Source organism: Homo sapiens, chromosome Y (genome assembly GCF_000001405.40).
Source record: "Homo sapiens chromosome Y, GRCh38.p14 Primary Assembly".
NCBI classification, from domain to species: domain Eukaryota; kingdom Metazoa; phylum Chordata; class Mammalia; order Primates; family Hominidae; genus Homo; species Homo sapiens.
The window spans coordinates 12780554-12799864 of NC_000024.10; the positions used below are offsets into that span (position 1 = coordinate 12780554).

At 37.4% G+C, this 19311-nt stretch overlaps 1 protein-coding gene across 3 annotated transcripts in view; it reads left to right on the forward strand.

Moving 5' to 3' along the window:
- The window catches only part of USP9Y (ubiquitin specific peptidase 9 Y-linked), a 159609-nt gene that overhangs the window by 79323 nt on the left and 60975 nt on the right, over positions 1–19311 (forward strand). For all 3 annotated transcript variants that reach the window (NM_004654.4, XM_047442772.1, XM_047442771.1), the window contains 5 exons: positions 5650–5780; positions 5969–6247; positions 9854–9979; positions 10946–11071; positions 12479–12648. In NM_004654.4, the coding sequence (NP_004645.2) occupies positions 5650–5780; positions 5969–6247; positions 9854–9979; positions 10946–11071; positions 12479–12648 (832 nt within the window). The remainder of the gene's footprint in view (positions 1–5649; positions 5781–5968; positions 6248–9853; positions 9980–10945; positions 11072–12478; positions 12649–19311) is intronic.

Genomic DNA, 19311 nt, shown 5'->3' on the forward strand with positions numbered 1-19311 from the left:
CTCTCCCACATGCAGTAGTTTATTATTTGGTTGTTTTGTTTTTTTCTATTTTTTTACTTGGAGTTGGTTGAACATAGAGCTGAAAGTAGAACATCTGCAGTTTCATGGCAATATTGGCTGCTGGGAGGACTGAACCTGTTGTGTCTTAACTTTCTGTCTAGAAGCTTTGTTTTTAACTCTTTAGTTCTGAAATCTAATGATGAAGTGCCTTGGAATGGTAGTTTTACTTTGATTTTTTTGTTGTTTGTTGTGTGTACTAAGTAATCAACAGATCTTGTTAGTTGAAAGAGTAGTTTCTTCAGCTGTGAGAAATTGGTATTTTTGTATAAATAGCATCTGATTTTGAACTTACTGTCATTAAATGGCTTGTATTTCTTGGCCTACAAATGAGCCATTTTCCAGCTCCAAGACTAAATTGGCCATTTACCTGATCACTGATTTCTTTTAGTGTAACATGTTCCATAGAAGATAAAATATGGGCTCTCTAACATATAAATAAAATCTACCATATGTATATGTCTATAGATGTGCCTTGGAGATACTGTGGTTTCCATTACCATACCACCACAATAAAGTGTACCTCTCAATAAATCAAGTCAGACAAGTTTCTTTGTATCCCGGTGCGCATAAAAGTTTTTTACACTAGTATAAAACTAAAAGTTTTATACACTATACACATAAAAGTTTTTTACACTATAAATGTGCAATGGCATTATATCTTTTTTAAAAGGTATACAGCAATTAAAAATACATTATTGCTAAAAAATAGTAACTATCTTGTGAGCCTTCAGCGAATTGTAACTTTTTGCCATTGAAGGGTCTTGCTTCAACATCAACTGCTGCTAACTGATCAGGGTGATGGTTGCTGAAGCTGGGGACATCTGTGTTGATTTCTTAAAAGGAGACAACAGTGAACTTTTCTGCTATTGACTCTCCTTTCTGGATAGATTCCCATGTAGCTTGGGATAGTATTTTATAGCATCTGACCCCAAGTAAAACTTATTTCAAAACTTGAGTCAGTCCTCTCAAACTCTGCTCCTGCGTTATCAACTAAGCTTATGTAGTGTAATATTCTAAATCCTTTGTTGTCATCTCAACAGTATTCATATAATCTTTTCCAGGTGTAGATTTTGTCTCAAGAAACCACTTCGTTTGCTCAGCCATGTGAAGCAAGTTCATCTCTGTTAAAGTTTTATTGTGATATTGGCAGCAATTCAGTCACATCTTTAGGCTTCACTTCTAATTCTAGTTCTCTTGCTGTTTCCACTGTATCTGTAGTTCCTTCCCCGACTGATGTCTCAAAGTCATCCAACTTCTTCCAAACTCCCAGTAACGTTGTTATATTGACCTTTTCCCATGAATCGTGAATGTTCTTAGTGGCATCTAGAAGGGAAAATACTTTCCAGAAGGCTTTCAACATAGTTTGCCCAGATTCAACAGAGGAATCACTGTCTATGGCAGCAACAGCCATACAAAATGTAATCCTTTTTTTTTTTGAGACAGTTTCACTATGTCACCCAGGCTGGATTGCAGTGGTACCCTCTTGGCTTACTGCAATCTCCGCCTTTTAGGTTCAAGTGATTGTCCTGCCTTAGCCTCCAGAGTGGCTGGGATTACAGGTGTGTGCCACGACGTGCAGCTAATTTATCGTATCTTTTGTAGGAATGGGGTTTCACTGTTTTGACCAGGCTGGGTCTTAAGCTCCTGGCCTCAAGTGATCTGCCTGCCTTGGCCTACCCAAGTTCTGAGATTATGGGTGTAAGCTACCACACCCAGCTATTCTTAAGTGATAAAGTGAAACTCACAATTACTCCATGGGCTGCATAATGGACATTGTGTCAGCAAGCAATGAAAACACCATTCATTTCCACATACATCTCCGTGAGAGCTCTTGGGTTGCCAGATACATTGTCAATCAGCAGTAATACATTCAAAAAATCTTTTTTTCTGCATAGTAGGTCTCAACAGTGGCTTACACTATTCAATAGGCTATCCTGTAAACAGATGTGGTGTCATCCAGCCTTTGTTATTTTGCTTGTAGGGCACAGACGAAGTAGATTTCGCGTAATTCTTAAGGACCCTAGGATTTTCGGGAATGGTAAATAAATATTGGCTTCAAATTAAATTTACCCATGACATTAGCCCCTAACAACAGAGTCAGCCTGTTTTATAAAGCCTGGAAGCCAGGCATTAATCTCTCCTTTACAGTTAAGAAAGGTCTAGATGGAATCCTCTTCTACTACAAGGCTGTTTTGTCTGTACTGAAAATCCATTTACTGTAGACACCATCGTCAATTATCTTAGCTCCATGTTCTAGGTAACTTGCTATAGCTTCACTTGGTGCTTCAACTTGTACTTTTATGTTTTAGAGATCGCTTCTTCCCTTAAACCTCATGAACTAACCTCTGCTAGTTTTAAGCTTTTCTTCTGCAGCTTTCTTTTCTCTCAGCCTTTATAGAATTGGAGAAAGTTAGAGCTTCACTCTGGTTTAGGCTTTGGCTTTTAATGGAAGGCGTGGCTGTTATTGATATATCCAGACAGCTAAAGCTTTCTTCTTCTTTTCAATAATTCTGTTTCATTTTCTAATCTTTCCTATGTGTAGTGGAGCAACACTTCATTTTCTTCAAGAACTTTTCCTTTGCATTCACAACTTGGCTAACTGGTGTAAGAGATCCAGCTCTCAGCCCATTTCAGCTTTTGGCATGCTTTTCTTACTAAGCTTAATCACTAGCTTTTAATTTAAAGTGAGAGATATGTGACTTCCTTTCACAAGAACACTTAGAACATTGTAGGGTTATTAATTGGCCTAATTTAAGCATTATTGTATATCAGGGATAGGGCGGCCTGAGAAGGAGGACAGATGGGGAAAGACCAGTCAGTGGAGCAGTCAGAATGCACACAGCATTTATTAAGTTTGCTGTGATATACTGGTGCAATTTATTGTGCCCTGAAACAGTTACAATAGGAACATCAAAGACTGCTGGTTACAGATCACCTAACAGATATGATAATAATGAAAAACTTTGAAATACTGTGAGAATTACCAAAATGTGACACAAGACACAAAATGACCACATTCTATTGAAAAAATGGTGCTGATAGACTTGGATGCAGGGTTACCATAAGCCTTCAATTTGTATAAAACACAGTATCTGCAAAGGATAGTGAAGTAGAGCACAATAAAGCCAGGCTTATCTATCTATCTATCTATCTATGAATGAGATCACACCATTACCTCCAATTTTAGTTCAGTTCCACAAGCTTCTTTTTGTTTCTTTTCTCTTTCCCTATACGAAAGTTTTGTCTCCAGGAGTGAGAAACCTGGCTGAGTATTATTCTTTAATATATTTACTTGTTTGATTAATCCTATAGTTACCAATTATTTATCTTCTCTACCAACCTTTTCCTTGCCTAGATAACCTCCTCTTCACTTAGCTCTGGCTTCAGCCTCTAATGCCAGGCTGCCATGCAACATACAATTTAAGCAGAGTACTACTAGAAATAAGAGTTACTGACTTTGTGTATAATTTGGATGGCCCAGGTAGATGCCTCACTGTGACCAGCTCCTGTTTTGGAAGATATTAAGTATGCACAAAATGAAAAGAGAAATTGTTGGCTTAACAGCATTGAGATAAAGCAAGTGAATGATAGAATATTCTGAAACAGAGGGACTGCCATATAGGTGGAACATAAAAAGCATCAGCAGGTGATGTGGTCTGAGAGCATTACAAGGATGGGAATAGGTGTTCCCTTTTTATTTCTTAAGGTAGAGCTGAAAGCTTTTATGTATGTAGCACTCAAGCTAATGGTTTCTTTCTTTCTATCTGAAGGTTATACTTCTACTCTCTGGCTCTTCTTGCCTATGAGGGATCCCATCTGCCAAGCTTAGCTTACACATTATACTAATATTATGACCCTCTTTGCCGATTGGAAATGAGCTAATTGGTATTATAGAAATGTGTTGTTATACAACAAGCAAGCTTATTTCTCCAGCGCCTGTACCGAGTTTTGCTTGGTTTCTTCTGTTTTGCATGGTCGCCCCTGTCCACTGAATCTTTTTTTTCTTCTATTAAAATATAACCAACTTTTGACATTGTAATAGTTTTAAAGTCATCATGAATAATACAGAGTGCTTCCATATACACTTCCAGATTCAGCAACTGTTAAAATGTTGTCACACCTGCTGTATCATTCTTTCCTCCATATAATTCTTCTAACATTTGGAGAGGAAGTTACACATAACCTGTGTTTTTACCTAACTGTCTCAGTGTGTTTCCTTAGAACAAGAACATTCTCTTATATAACCACAGAAGAATTTATCAATATCAGGAATTACAACACCTTTGATGATATTGACATTGTTGAAAAAGACCAGTTTTGTACAATATTTCTCAAATTGGGCTTGCATGCCTTCTGACTATTACCATCAGGCAATTCACTTTTTAAAAGAAATTGTGGAAAAGTTACCATACAGTTTATCATCTTAACCATTTTAAATTGTATAGTTCATTAGTAATAAGTGTTTTCACATTGTTGTGCAACCAGTCTCCAGAATTTTTTTCTTCTTACAAAGCTGAAACTCAGTACCCACTAAAAACAACTCTTCTATTTCTTCCTGCTCCCCTACCCTCAAAGTCATCATTCTACTTTCTCTTTCTGAGTTTTACTGCTCTACGTAGCTCATGCCAATGAAATAATACAGTATTTTTCTTTTTGTGACCAGCTTGTTTCGCTCAGTAATGTCCTCACAGTTCATCATGTTTTAGCATGTGGCAGAATTGTTTTGTTTTTAAGGCTGAATAATATAGTGCGGTTTGTGTATACTAGATTTTGTTGATCCCCTCATCTGTTGATGGACAGTAAAGTTGTTTTCAGCTTTTGACTACCATGAACCATACTTCCTTGAATATTTGTGTAGAAGTTTTGTTGGGGGCTTATGTTTGCATTCTCTAGGTTTTATATCTGGGACTCAAATGGCTGGATGACAGTAAGTCTATGTTTAACTTATTGAGAGCTACCAAGTTTTTCCAAAGTGGCTGTACCACTTTACAATCCTCCCAGTAAGGTAGGAGTGTTACAGTTTCTCCTCGTCTTCACCAATACTACTTAAATGTTTTTTTGATTTGGTTATCCATTCTACTGATGTTGAAGTGGGATGTTAATATGGTTTTGTTTGCATTTCTTTGATGGCTAATGATGCTGAGCAATTTTTCATTTGCTTCCTAGCCATTTATCTATTTTTGAAGAAATGTCTGTTAACATCCTTTGCTCATTTTTAATTGATAATTTGTCATTTTATTATTCAATTATATGTGGTCAATGCTTGTATTATTTCTCTTTCCAGTTTTTGGTTTTGGGTTTTTTTTTTCCTTTCTGTCTGCAGTGGATGAAGGAGGATTTATTGATCTGAACTCTCTGGATAGGAAACCCTTCCCTTCATATTTTGTGTTGGCAGTTAAGGAGTCCTGATTGATCACTAATCAGTCAGTTCAGTTCTAGTTATATATTGTAACATTTGATCTCAGCTTAATGAGATTTGTGGATATAATTTTTATTTATTTAAGATAATACTCTTCAAAATGGCAAATGTGAAACATTAATAACACGTGAGTTACACTTTATTTTAGTCTGTGTCTTTTTCCTTTGCAGATAGAACAGCTGTAGAAAAATTACGAGCTGTTTGTTTGGACCATGCAAAACTTGGAGAAGGCAAACTTAGTCCACCCCTTGACTCTCTTTTCTTTGGTCCTTCTGCCTCCCAAGTTCTATACCTAACAGAGGTTGGTTTTTGCCTTTGCAAAAATGTAATTTTTATATTATACGGTAATGTGAAGAACACTGATAAGACTGTAAAGAAAGTTTTTTAAATAGTCGAATTTCTTAGCAATGATCAGAGGAGAAATAGATGTTACTAAGTTTTTTTTTAAATCCCTTTTAATATACTCTCCTTTTTTTTTTTTTTTTCCAGGTAGTTTATGCCTTGTTAATGCCTGCTGGTGTGCCTCTAACTGATGGGTCCTCTGACTTTCAAGTTCACTTCTTGAAAAGTGGTGGCTTACCTCTTGTACTGAGTATGCTAATAAGAAATAACTTCTTGCCAAATACAGATATGGAAACTCGAAGGGGTGCTTATTTAAATGCTCTTAAAATAGCCAAACTGTTGTTAACTGCGATTGGCTATGGCCATGTTCGAGCTGTAGCAGAAGCTTGTCAGCCAGTTGTAGATGGTACAGACCCCATAACACAGGTAATAAATGTTAAGAAACTTTTAAAAATATTTAGTCCTTACTATTTAATAAATGTAAACTCTGTAATAATTATTAATTATTACTATTTAATAAATGTAAACTTTTAAGTAGATGATGGAAATAATTCAACAGATAGCATATTATCTTAGGGATTTTTTTGATTAAGTTGTATTTATATTAAAAATGTAAAGATTGACTGTTGCCTATCCTACTTTGAGTGAACTTCCCAGTCTCTTTAAATCATTTTTTACTTTCAGTTGTTTAAAGTGTAATGAAAACTTCACCTGAATCTTTTGTTAAGTCATACCAAAAAGATACATAAAGACAGTTCGTCATAAAGGAGAATATATAATTGCCATGCAGCAAACCTCTCTTCCCACAACTGTGAATCTCTTTCTCCTTTGCTGTTAGCCTTGAGCAGCATCACCAACAGTTCTCAAGAAGTGCTTAGATTGGATGCAAAAGATGAATTCAGTTCTAACTAAATTGAGTTCACTCACTTATGTTATAAAGGATGGTTTTACTAATTACTGCTTGAAGATAAAATGGTTCAGGGATACAGATTATTACATTTAGATATATGTGAGGTGTTAATTAGGGAAATTTGGATAGTGACTGGATTATCTGTATATTCTAGACTGATTAATTTTATTTTGGGTATGAGTCATGCTGTCATTATTGACCTAAGATAAAATGTCTCAGGTTTGCTTCAAAATAATTCTGGGGTAATATAATTCTGGGTTTGTTTCTTGGGGAGTCAGTGAAACAAGTTTAAACATTTGTTAATAATTATTGAAGCTAGATAATGGGTATTTGAGGATGTATTATATTCTTTTATCTGCTTTTATATATTTTTTGAAATGTTTCATTCAAAAAAAGGACAAAAAGAAGAAAGTGGTCTTGTACATGTCAATTTAGATATTAATTTACAAAGCTCTGTCTCCATCCTGAGTAAGTTTTATTGCTTTATATTGTGGGCTTCATGCATATTTACATAAAAAAAGGTAGGGTTCTTATTATGGTCCTTGTTATGGGAGTTTACTGAAATACAAACAAGATATTTTTTGTATCTTTTTACATATTTCTTTCTGTATGCATGTTTAAGAAGTGTGCTACCAAAGGACACAGAGATACATAATAATCTCTAATCATATTCTGGTAAGGAGCTTAAGGAAAATTAGTCTTTAAAATATGTTTAATGTACGACTGTCTACAATACGTACAAGAGGTTACCTTTTGAGAAATTGGAAAACGCAAAGAAAATTCTGAGGGGTTTCTCTCATAGATTTAAAAGCTTTTTATGCTATTAAGTAAGATGTTGTAGTACTTTCTACACATTCCACACTTATTAATCCTTGATTACTATAATTCCTTTCCATGGAGAAGTTATGAATAGAGAATATTTGGTTCTGCCAGTATTAGAGTAAACACAGTTATTTTTGCATTTTGGAGCACTCCTAATCCTTCTTTTGCTACTGAGTTGAATTAGAGAGTTAATATATTACCAGTAATGTTAACAAGACAATTTTGGTGTAAGAACAAGTGACACAAGACTTTGCTGACATGAAAAACTCTAGTTGGATTAGCAAAATTCAATTTGCAGTTTTAAAGCATTGTGTAACTTTTTATTCAACAAGTAATTGATATTATGTATGTACTTAGTACCTAGTATAAAACAGATAATTGCTAGAGATGCATGTAGACCTCACATAATTTCTAAATTTATTGGATATTAATGGTCAAAATATATTGAGCTGTTTCTTGTATGCCAGTCACTATGCTTTATCTCCTTTAATCACGAAGACAGCTATATTTGTTGAGCCTCTGCTATTACTTTCTATTTAGTAAGTGAAAATTGAGACCTGGAGCCATGAAGTAGCTTGGTCCAAAATGATAACCGTCAGCTGAGATTTTTTTTTTTTTTTTTTTTTTTTTTTGAGACGGAGTCTCACTCTGTCACCCAGGCTGGAGTGCAGGGGCGCCATCTTGGCTCACTGCAAGCTCTGCCTCTTGGGTTCAAGTGATGCTCCTGCCCCAGCCTCCCAAGTAGCTGGGACTCCCGGCGCGTGCCACCAAACGCGGCTAATTTTTGTATTTTCACTAGAGACAGGTTTCACTATGCTGGGCAGGCTGGTCTCAAACTCCTAACCTCAGGTGATCCACCCACCTCGGCCTTCCAAAGTGCTGGGATTACAGGCATGAGCCACCACGCCCGGCCAGCTGAAATTTTTAATTCCATGAGGCCACTGACTTGGAAACTATATTTTTACCACCTTTGCAATACTAGTTTTTTTGTGTGTGAAATTTTATGTAGTATCACTTGGCAAATTGTTTGTGAAAACTTTATTGAAAAATGAAAATAATATGTACATAACAGTTAAATTTTAAAATTCGTTGGTTGAAGTTGGAAACAGTGGCTGGAAGTATTTGATTTGTTCAGTCTTAACGCTTTGACCGCCTGACAGTTGCAGTAACATCTCCCCCAGGCTCTCGAATCTCTTAAAATATCTGTTTTAATATGGTCTTTTTAAACTTTTTTTAAACTTTAGGCCAGGTGTGGTGGCTGATGCCTATAATCCCAGCATTTTGGGAGGCCTAGGGGTGAAGATCACTTGAGGTCAAGAGTCCAAGACCAGCCTGGTCAGCATGGCGAAACCCTGTCTCTCCTAAAAATACAAAAATTAGCCGGGCGTGGTGATGTGTGCCTGTATTCCCAGTTACTGGGGAGGCTGAGGCAGGAGAATTGCTTGAACCCAGGAGGGAGAGGTTGTAGTGAGTCGAGATTTCACCACTGCACTCCAGCCTGGGTGACAGATTGAGACTCTGTCTCAAATTTTAAGAAAATAAAATAAAACTTTACTGTGTAAATAACAGCGGTAGAGAGGATAATAGGTTAAGCTGCGAGAAGCTTTAGCCTGTCTGTGAAATGAGCATTAGAATGCAGGTGGCATAATCAGCCTTGGGCAAAATAAGTAGCTTCCTAAAGACTAAGTCTGTAGATTTTAAAGGACTGTTTAATGGTATCCTCAGTTTTCTCCATTGTATTATGGTAGGCCTAGTCACCTGTGGCAAAGGGGGACCAGGAGAAGTTTCTACCCAGAGACATGTTGTATCATTTATCCCCTGCAAATGAGCCCAAGTGCAGAAATAATAGAATTCATCTCAAATTGGAGTTTCCAGGGTGTTACTACGTGTGTAGTTTATTTCACTTTGAGTAATATTCGATATTCAAGGCATGGTAATTCCACATTTTGTTAATTCGTTTGTTGATGGGCATTTGGATTGTTTCTAGTTTTGGCTGATGATGGGAGTAAAACTGTTAGGAAACTCATCAACATATCATAGAGCTTCTGTGGATATATGGTTTTATATCTCTTGGGTAAACACCTCCGTACGTCTATCACTTTGAAAGACAGCTCCATAATGTTGGCAATGTGAAATAATTTTTATGCAAACCCCCATAAACTCCACAGGGGTAAGTGAAGGAATAACATGCCGAGGAAGTGGTGATGGATGAGGAGTAAAAATTTTTTTAATGTAAAAATTTTAGGGATTATGGTATATACAGTTTTTTCATTTGACGTAAAATGATTCACTTTTTTCAGATTAACCAAGTTACTCATGATCAAGCAGTGGTGCTACAAAGTGCCCTTCAGAGCATTCCTAATCCCTCATCCGAGTGCGTACTTAGAAATGAGTCCATACTTCTTGCTCAGGAAATATCTAATGAGGTTAGTATGAAAGTTAGACAGTTCTGGGATCTTGAATGATCTCTACTTAACACGTAAATAAATTAAGCTATGAGAATTTGAGGCTAAATATTGTAGACCCAAAACACTTTAGTCTCTATCTCAATTTATTTAAAATTTCATAAAGTTATGTTTGACCTGATAGCTGCTGATAATATTAATATTAGAGCTTTAGAAATTTTGAAATTTTTAAATAAGCTTTCTGAGTTATAATTTACATTGCACAAACTAGATCAAATAAGTTTTAGTATATGTTTAAACTGCTCACACAAGCAAGGAATAGGACGTTTATAATGGCTCCAGAAGTTTTCTTGTGATGTTTATTCTCTTAAATTTTACATAAATGGAATCATATACGTTGTACTCTTTTGGGTCTGGCTTATATCCATCAGCAAAATTTTGAAAGTTATTCATGTTGTTATATATGTGTGTAGTTTATTTCACTTTGGGTAATAGTCCATGTATGGTTACTCCACATGTTGCTAATTCATTCGTGTGTTGATGGACATTTGGATTATTCACAACAGTCTAGTTTTGACTGTTGTGAATAAAATTTTTGGGTAACTCATCAAGTCATAGTGCTTCTGTGGACATACATTTTTATATCTCTTGGGTGAACACCTCTGCATAGCATGGCTAAGTAATTTGACTGTTGTTATTTTTAAAATTTTATGAAAAATAGGATAAAGCCATATCAGACTTGAACCTGAAGCATACTTGGTGGGTATTGCTGTGTCTTCCGTTCATATGGGAAGCCATATTTTTTGACTTAATGTTAAGATATTAAAAAAATGAGAACAAGGGAACTTTGGTCCTTAAAGGCAGGTCTGATGCATGTTTACTTTTACTTCCATTTCCACTTCTTTCACTAAGAGAAATATTTTGTTTTCCTGATTATTCACTTTAATGTTCTGCCAGCACTTTTAATTATTTATTTCTTTTCTGCAGGCTTCAAGATATATGCCTGATATTTGTGTAATTAGGGCTATACAGAAAATTATCTGGGCATCAGCATGTGGGGCATTAGGACTAGTTTTTAGCCCAAATGAAGAAATAACTAAAATTTATCAGATGGTAAGAATTATTACAGAAATAGATTTTTAAGAAAATGTTGCTTCATTGTACATGTGATTAAATTTTCATCATTTCTGTCACCTTATAGACCAAGTCGCTTGTATCTAATGGTTTAAAATTTATTGCTACCTATAAATAAAATGAGAATATATTGTTTTATTTTGGAAATAAAATACTCTAGAAGCCTGCTATGAGGCAGCTTTCTTTTCCTACTTTTTTAAAAAGACTTCTCATTGACTCAAATATAGTTATACTGTAATGAATCCACCTCTCCCTATTTTCTTTAGTTCTTCTTGATTTTGTCCTGTGTAAATTTTTGGTAATTGTCTCTTTGGGAATTATGGCATTTAAATTTTACCTGGCGTCGGGCACAGTGGCTCACACCTGTTAATCCCAGCATTCTAGGAGGCCAAGGTGGGCGGATCGCCTGAGGTCAGTAGTTCAAAACCAGCCTGGTCAACATGGTGAAACCACATCTCTCCGGCAGGTGGGGGGCGGGGGAAGGGGGCAAATTAGCCACACATGGTGGCGCATGCCTGTCATCCCAGCTACATGGGTGGCTGAGGCATGAGAATCACTTGAACCTGGGAGGCAGATGTTGCAGTGAGTGGAAATCCTCTGCACTCAAGCCTGGTGACAGAGCAAGACTCTGTCTCAATCAATCAATCAATCCATTTTACGTGGTTCTTTTAGAACACTCAACAGCAGGAAGAGTGTCTAACATTTAGGTATTATCACCAGCCTTGTGGTACATTAAGCAAGCTATTTACAGAAATAAGACTGTTTAGCTCTTTGTTGTCTGTGGTGTTTACCTACCCATATAGAACCCTGATGGTCTCCATTAAAATATACATTAGTGTATTTAAATATACATTAGTATAGTTAAAATGAGAAAGTGTGTCATGGCATTATACAACTTCCGTTTTAGGAATAGTTGAATGGTTATTCTGTTCCAAACGTACAAGTCTTAGTTACATTTTGATGGATAGTGACAGATTAAAAATTATTAGCTACCTAGTTATATTTTAGGTTGCAGAAGTCTTCCATAGGCTTCCTGAACATTTGTATTATGATCAATTTTTGAATGAAATGACTTGTAGGTAGGCTCTACAATAGAACTACTCAAAGACCCAAACTGCAGTGCCAAAGTGATTCTGTAGTAGCAGTTATGATTGAGGCAGATCAGTCACATCCAGAAGAACATGAAAAGTGAGGAGTACCTATCACTGAATGTGCTTCTTAAATCCCCCTTGGAGTATATCCCAAAGAGCCTCTCTAGCCGCAAGTGAAGAGTCTGAGGCCGCATGGTCTTTACCAAGTAGGCAATTGTAAATGTTAACCAGAGGGTTTGTGAATTTCTTCTTGAATATGTCTCTAGGTAACTTGCTCCTGATTCTAATTTTGCAGACCACCAATGGAAGCAATAAGCTGGAGGTGGAAGATGAACAAGTTTGCTGTGAAGCACTGGAAGTGATGACCTTATGTTTTGCTTTACTTCCAACAGCGTTGGATGCACTTAGTAAAGAAAAAGCCTGGCAGACCTTCATCATTGACTTATTATTGCACTGTCCAAGCAAGTATGTGATTTTTATGTGTAATTTGAAGGAAGGCTTACCTTACCGTTCCAAGCAGAAATGAATGACTTCTGAAGAAAATTTTTTTCCAGAAGTGAAGGAAGGAACCCTTTTACTTGCCCATGTAATACCTTGAAGTGTAGAAGCATTTTTTTAAAAACATTTCCAGTTAACCTGAATTTTTTTCTCTGCAAGATGCCAGCATTGATTTTTTTCTTTTACTTTTTTTTATTGTAGTAAATCATGTAATTATATACATAACACAAAATTAGCCATTTTAACCTCTTTTTTAAGTTAGCTTTATTCAGTGGCATTAATTGCACAATATTGTGCAGTTATGACTGGTGTATATTGAATGATTGCAATATTGTGCAGTCACTCCTGCTTTATCTCAAAAATATTTTATCACCCTCAAAATATTTTATCACCCTCAACAAATTCTTTTTAACTAATGACTCCCATTTTCACTACCCTCCAATCTCTGATAACTTAAAATATTCATTTAGTTTCTATGCATTTCCTATTTTAGGTATGTCACATAAGTGAAATCACACAAATTTGTGCCTTTGTGTCTAGTTTGTTAGCTTAGCATAATGTTTTAAAGGTTCATCTATGTTGTAGCATGGTCAGAACTTGATTCATTTTCAGGGGATACTCTCTCATATGTGTATACTAGATGTTGTTTATACATCGGTCTGTTGATAGACACCTGGATTATTTCTACCTTTTAGCTCTTGATTACTGTTATTGTGAATATTACTATGAGCACAGATCTCTGAGTTCTTATTCTCAGAGCTATTGAGTATATTTGTAGAAATGGATGTGCTGGGTCATAGGGTAAGTTGTGTTTAACTTTTTGAAGATCTGCTGAACTTTTTTAACATTGGCTTCACCACTTTACACTCCCAACCTCACCTTACACAGGCTTTAGTTTCTCCAAATCCTCTCCCACACTATTTTCACTTTTGTTAATGGCCATCCTAACGTATGTAAGATGTAACCTCATTGTGGTTTGTATTTACATTTCCTTATGACTATTGTAGTGATATTGAGCATTGGCTCTTGTGATATTACTGGCCACTTGTATATCTGCTTTAGAGAAATGTATCTTCCAGTTTTTATAGCATTATTGAATTTGATTATTTTTGTAGTGAGTTTCTGTATATATTCTGGATATTAATTCCTTTCCAGACTAATGATTTACAAACATTTTCTCCTATTCTTCAGGATTTATTTCCACTCTGCTGATAATGTTATTTTATGCACAGAAGTTTTTAATTTTCATGAAGTTTAATTTATGTCTTTTTTGGTTTCCTGTGTTTCCATCATCCTCAGTATAGAAATCATTGGCAAATCCAGAGCAAAAGCTATTTTCTCCTACATTGTTTTCTAAGAATTTTTTATTTTTATAGTTCTTAATTTTAGATCTTTCATCCAATTGGAGTTGATTTTTGTGAATGATGTGAAACTAAGTGTCCAACTCCATTCTTTTGAATGTGGATATCCAGCTTTCCCATCATGATGAACATGGTCTTACCCCATTGAGTGGTCTAGGCACCTTGTTGAAGATACAAGGGGTTGTTTCTAGGCTCTAAATTATATTCCTTTGGTCTATATGCCTGTCCTTAGGCCAATGCCACACTCCTGATTAGTACATCAGGGAATATAAGTCCTTCAGCTTTGTTGGGGTTTTTAGTTTGTTTGTGTTTTGGTTTTGCCTAGGTTTTTATTTGTTTTTGAGGTTATTTGGACCTTCTAGGTTCTATAAAAATCCATATAAATTTTAAGCTGGATATTGCATTGAATCTCTCTCAAAAGAGTGATTGCCTCTTAACAGTATTAAGTCTTCCAAGACATGAACATGGGATGTCTTTTCATTTACTTAGATTCTGTTTACTTCTTCAACACTCTTATTTCTTCTCTGCGAAATTATTTCTAAGTACTGTAGTGCTAACTCTTTTTGCTGCTCTTGTGGATGGAATTGTTTTCTTAATTTTGTTTTGGGATATTCATTGCTAGTATATCAAAACAACTAATTTTTTTATATTGATTTTATTTATCCTGCAATTTTGTTAAATTTCTTTATGAATTAGAGGTTTTTTTACAGTAAGATCATGCCACTTGCAAATAACATAGTTTTACTTTTTCTTTCCTTTTTGGACCAAATTTATCTCTTCCCTTTTTTGCCTATATGCTCTACTGCCTTGATTAGTAGTAGTAAGAGCAGGCGTACTTATCTTGTTCCTGATTGAGGAAAAGCTTTTAGTCTTTCACGATTTAGTGATGTTGTTATTCCTGATCCAGACCCCTAGAGAGGGTTCCTGGACCTGGGTCAAGTCCACAGAGTAAAATAAGAGCAAGTTTATAGAGAAGTAAGGAACCAAAAGCACGGCTACTCCATAGGCAGAGCAGCCCTGAGAGTTGCTAGTTGGTTATTTTTGTGGTGATTTCTTGATTACATGCGAAACAAAGTTTATTTGTGCTAAACAAGTGGATTATTCATGGGTTTTCTGGGAAAGGGGTGGGAATCTGCTGCTCCCCACTCCCAACCCACCTGATGGTTTCTCCCTTTTTTGAACTATATAGGATAAAGTCTGGATGGTTGCCACGGTATTTGTAAAGTGATATGACGCTGGTGGGAGTGTCTTTTCGCAAGCTAATGCATTATATTTAGCGTACAAAGAGCCAGCTTCTTTACTGCATCCTGTTTTATCAGCAGGGTCTTTGTGACCTGCATTTTGTGTGGACTTCCTGTGGGAGTCGCTCTGGTTCGAATACCTGTGACCATGTTAGCTATTAGTTTTTCATATACGGCCTTTATGCTGTTGAGAAACTTCTCTTGTATTCCAAGTTTTCAAAATCAGTTTTATTATGAAAAGGTGTTTACATTAGTTTGGATAATTTTTTTGACTCAATTGAGATAGCCTTAAGCCTTATTTTCTTTATTGTATTTCTGATGATACTGTTACTGGAAAAGATTCCTGATCCAGATCCTAAGAGAGGACTCTTCGGTCTCATGTAAGAAAGAATTCAGGGTGAGACCATAAAGTAAAGGCAAGTTTATTAAGAAAGTAGAGGAATAGGCCGGGCACAGTGGCTCACACCTGTAATCCTAGCACTCTGGGAGGCCGAGGCAGGCAGATCACCAGAGGTCAGGAGTTCAAGACCAGCCTGACCAACCTGGTGAAACCCCATCTCTAGTAAAATAGAAAAATTAGCCAGGCATGATGGCAGGTGCCTGTAATCCCAGCTACTTGGGAGGCTGAGACGGGAGATTGTTTGAAACCTGGAAGACGGTGGTGCAGTGAGCTGAGATTGCACCACTGCACTCCAGCCTGGGCGGCTAAGTGAGACTCTGTCAGGAAGGGGTGGGGGAGGGGCAGGGGAAAAGAAAGTAGAGGAATAAGAAAATGGCTACTCCAAAGGCAGAGCAGCCCTGAGGGCTGCTGGTTACCCATTTATGTGGTTATTTGTTGATTATATGCAAAACAAGGGTTGGGTTATTCATGCTTTCCATTTTTATACCATATAGGGTAAACTTCCTGACATTGCCATGGCATTTGTAAACTGTCATGGCGCTGGTGAGACTGCAGCAGTGAGGATGACCAGAAGTCACTCTCATTGCCGTATTGGTTTTGGTGGGGTTTAGCTGGCTTTCTTACTGCAACCTGTTTCATCAGCAAGGTCTTTATGATCTGTATCTTGTACCAACCTCTGTCTCGTCCTTTGACTTAGAATGCCTAACCCTCTGGGAATGCAGCCCAGTAGATCTCAGCCTTATTTTACCTAGCCCCTATTCAAGATGGAATTGTTCTGGTTCAGAGGCTTCTGACAATATATTAGGAATCAATTCATATGTTTAAACACCCTTACGTTCTTGATAAATCCCACACTTCATCGTGGTACCTTGTACTTTTAATATGCTGCTGGATTTCTTGCTAGTATTTTATTGAGGATTTTTGCATGTATATTGTTGTCAATGAAAAGAATCAAACTCTATAGAATATTTGAAGAGATTTATTCTGAGCCAAATATGAGTGCCCATGGCCCGTGACACAGCCCTCAGGAGGTCCTGAGAACATGTGCCCAAGGTGGTCGGGGTGCAGCTTGGTTTTACACATTTTAGGGAGGCATTAGACATCAATCAGATACATGTACAAAATACACTGGTTTGGTCCAGAAAGGCGGGACAACTCAAAAGCGGGTGATGGGGGCTTCCAGGGTATAGGTAAATTTAAACATTTTCTGGTTGACAATTGGTTTTATGCAAAGACCTGGGATCATAGAAAGCACATGTTCAGGTTAAGATAAAAGATTGTGGAGACCAAGGTTCTTGTGAAGTCTTTTTACAGTGGCTGCCCTTAGAGACAATAAATGACAAATGTTTTTTATTCAGATCTTGAAAAGGTGCTGGACCTTCAGTTAATCTCTTTAGGATTGACAGGGCTTGGAAGAAAAACACTTGGCTATATTAATAGAGATTCTTAACAGATGCAGGTTTTCTCCCACAAAGGAAAGCTTTGCAGAGCTGTTTCAAGATATGGCTAAGAAACATGTTTTGGGGTAAAATATTTTGATTTTCTTCCTTGTATCGTAATGTTATGCCAGAGTCAGACTGAAAAGTAAGTCACGATATATAGGGTTAAATAAAAGCCATCTGATGAGGATTTATGATTTGTAGGGAATGACTCCCCAGACCCTTTAGACAGGAATTTGGGCAACATAAAAAGTCAGATCTTCGTCCTCATTGTTAAAAGGTATTGTGTTGGTCTCTACTTTCCCCTTCCCTCCTTCCCTTCCTTTCTCCTTCCCTTTTTCTTCCCTTTTGCTTCCCTTCTCCTTCCCTTCCCCTTCCCTTCCCCTTTCCCTTCCCTCCCCCTTCCCCTCCCTCTCTCCCTCCCTCCTTCCTTCCTTCCGTCCTTCCTTCTTTCGAAAAAATATTTGTCTAGCTTTGTTAGGTGAATAGTATTGGTCTTATAAGTTAAGAAGTACAGGTTGAGTATCCTTTATTTGAAATGCTTGGGACTTAGAAGTGTTTTGGATTTTAGAATGTTTGCATATCTTGGTGATGAGAAACCAGTCTAAACAGGAAATTCATTTATTTTTCATCTATCTTCATGAAGGTAATTTTGTGTATTCGTTTTGTGCGTGAAACAAAGATTGCGTTAAGACTGAGGGATGGAGTTTTTCACTTGTGTCAGCCCTCAAGTTTCAGGTTAGAGAACACCTCTAATTTTTGTTATTAGCGATGGTCAACCTGTACTGTCTTGTTTTAAAATAAATGATTTTGGAAAAGGGAAAAATTTGTTTTAATTTGAACATTTGGTAGATTTCAACAGTTGAACACTCTGGTCCTGGTGAAACAGCTACATTGTCTGGTGTATACACCCTGGAGGTCATGGTCATACACCAGGAAGATATAAGACATGGACACACCCAAGGTGTTCAGGAGCGGAGGTTTAATAGACAGAAGAGGAGAGAAAGAGAAGCAGCTGTCTCTATAGACAGAGGGGTCTCCAAGGGGAAAGGACTGGCTGGCAGCCGATGTGCTGGATTTTCTAGCCCAGTTTGAGGAGGCTGTGTCTGATTTACATAGGGTTCACAGATTGGTTTGATCAGCTATGACATTTACATAGTGTGTGAGGAAGGTTGGTTGCCCCACCCTAATTTTTTTTTTTTTTTTTTTTTGAGAAGGGGCGTTGCTCTGTCCCCCAGGCTGGAGTGCAGTGGTGGGATCTCGGCTCACTGCAACCTCCACCTCTCAGGTTCAAGGAATTCTGCCTCAGCCTCCTGAGTAACTGGGAATACAGGCGCGTGCCACCACACCAAACTAATTTTGTATTTTTAGTAGAAATGGGGTTTCACCATGTTGGTCAGGCCATTATGGAACTCCTGACCTAGTGATCCTCCCGCCTCCCAAAGTTGCTGGGATTACAGGGGTGAGCCACGACATCCAGAGGCCCCACCCTAAGGTTATTTTGCATATTGGGCTGTGCCAGTTGATCGGAGCCATCTTGTCTGCTCATTATTGTACACATGGCTGGCAGAGAAGGGACAATGGAGCTGCCATCTTGAACATGTCTAGTCCCTGTTCCTGCCGGCCTTCACCTGTGCAAGCTTCCAGCTTGCTTGTCTATGTCTGCAACTCGACTTTACAGGCCGCCATTTGTTGGTAAATGATTTGGGGCTGCTAGTCATGAAAAAGAGCCTTATGGAGGACTCCCACACCCTTACTCTCTGCCTGAGTAATTTCTTCTTAACTCCTGTATCACTGGGGTTTTCTTTTTAATAGATGTGAGCTTGTGAAATGAGTTTGGTGTTTGTCCCTTTTTCTTGGAGTAGAACTTCTAAAATCTTTGGAATCTCCAAAGTGTTGTCTCTTTATATGCTAGTGTTGACTGGAAAGAGGAAGACATGATTATGAGAGACAGGACTAGCTGGATTTCCTAGGCTGACTAAGAATTCCTAAGTCTATCTGGGGAAGGTGACTGCGCCCACCTTTAAACATGGGGCTTGTAACTCAGCTCACACCTGACCAATCAGGTAATAAAGAGAAGTCATTAAAATACCAATTAGGCTAAAAGCAGGAGGTAAAGAAATAGTCAAGTCATCTATCGCCTGAGAGTACACTGGGGAGGGACAATGATCGGGATATAAACTCAGGCA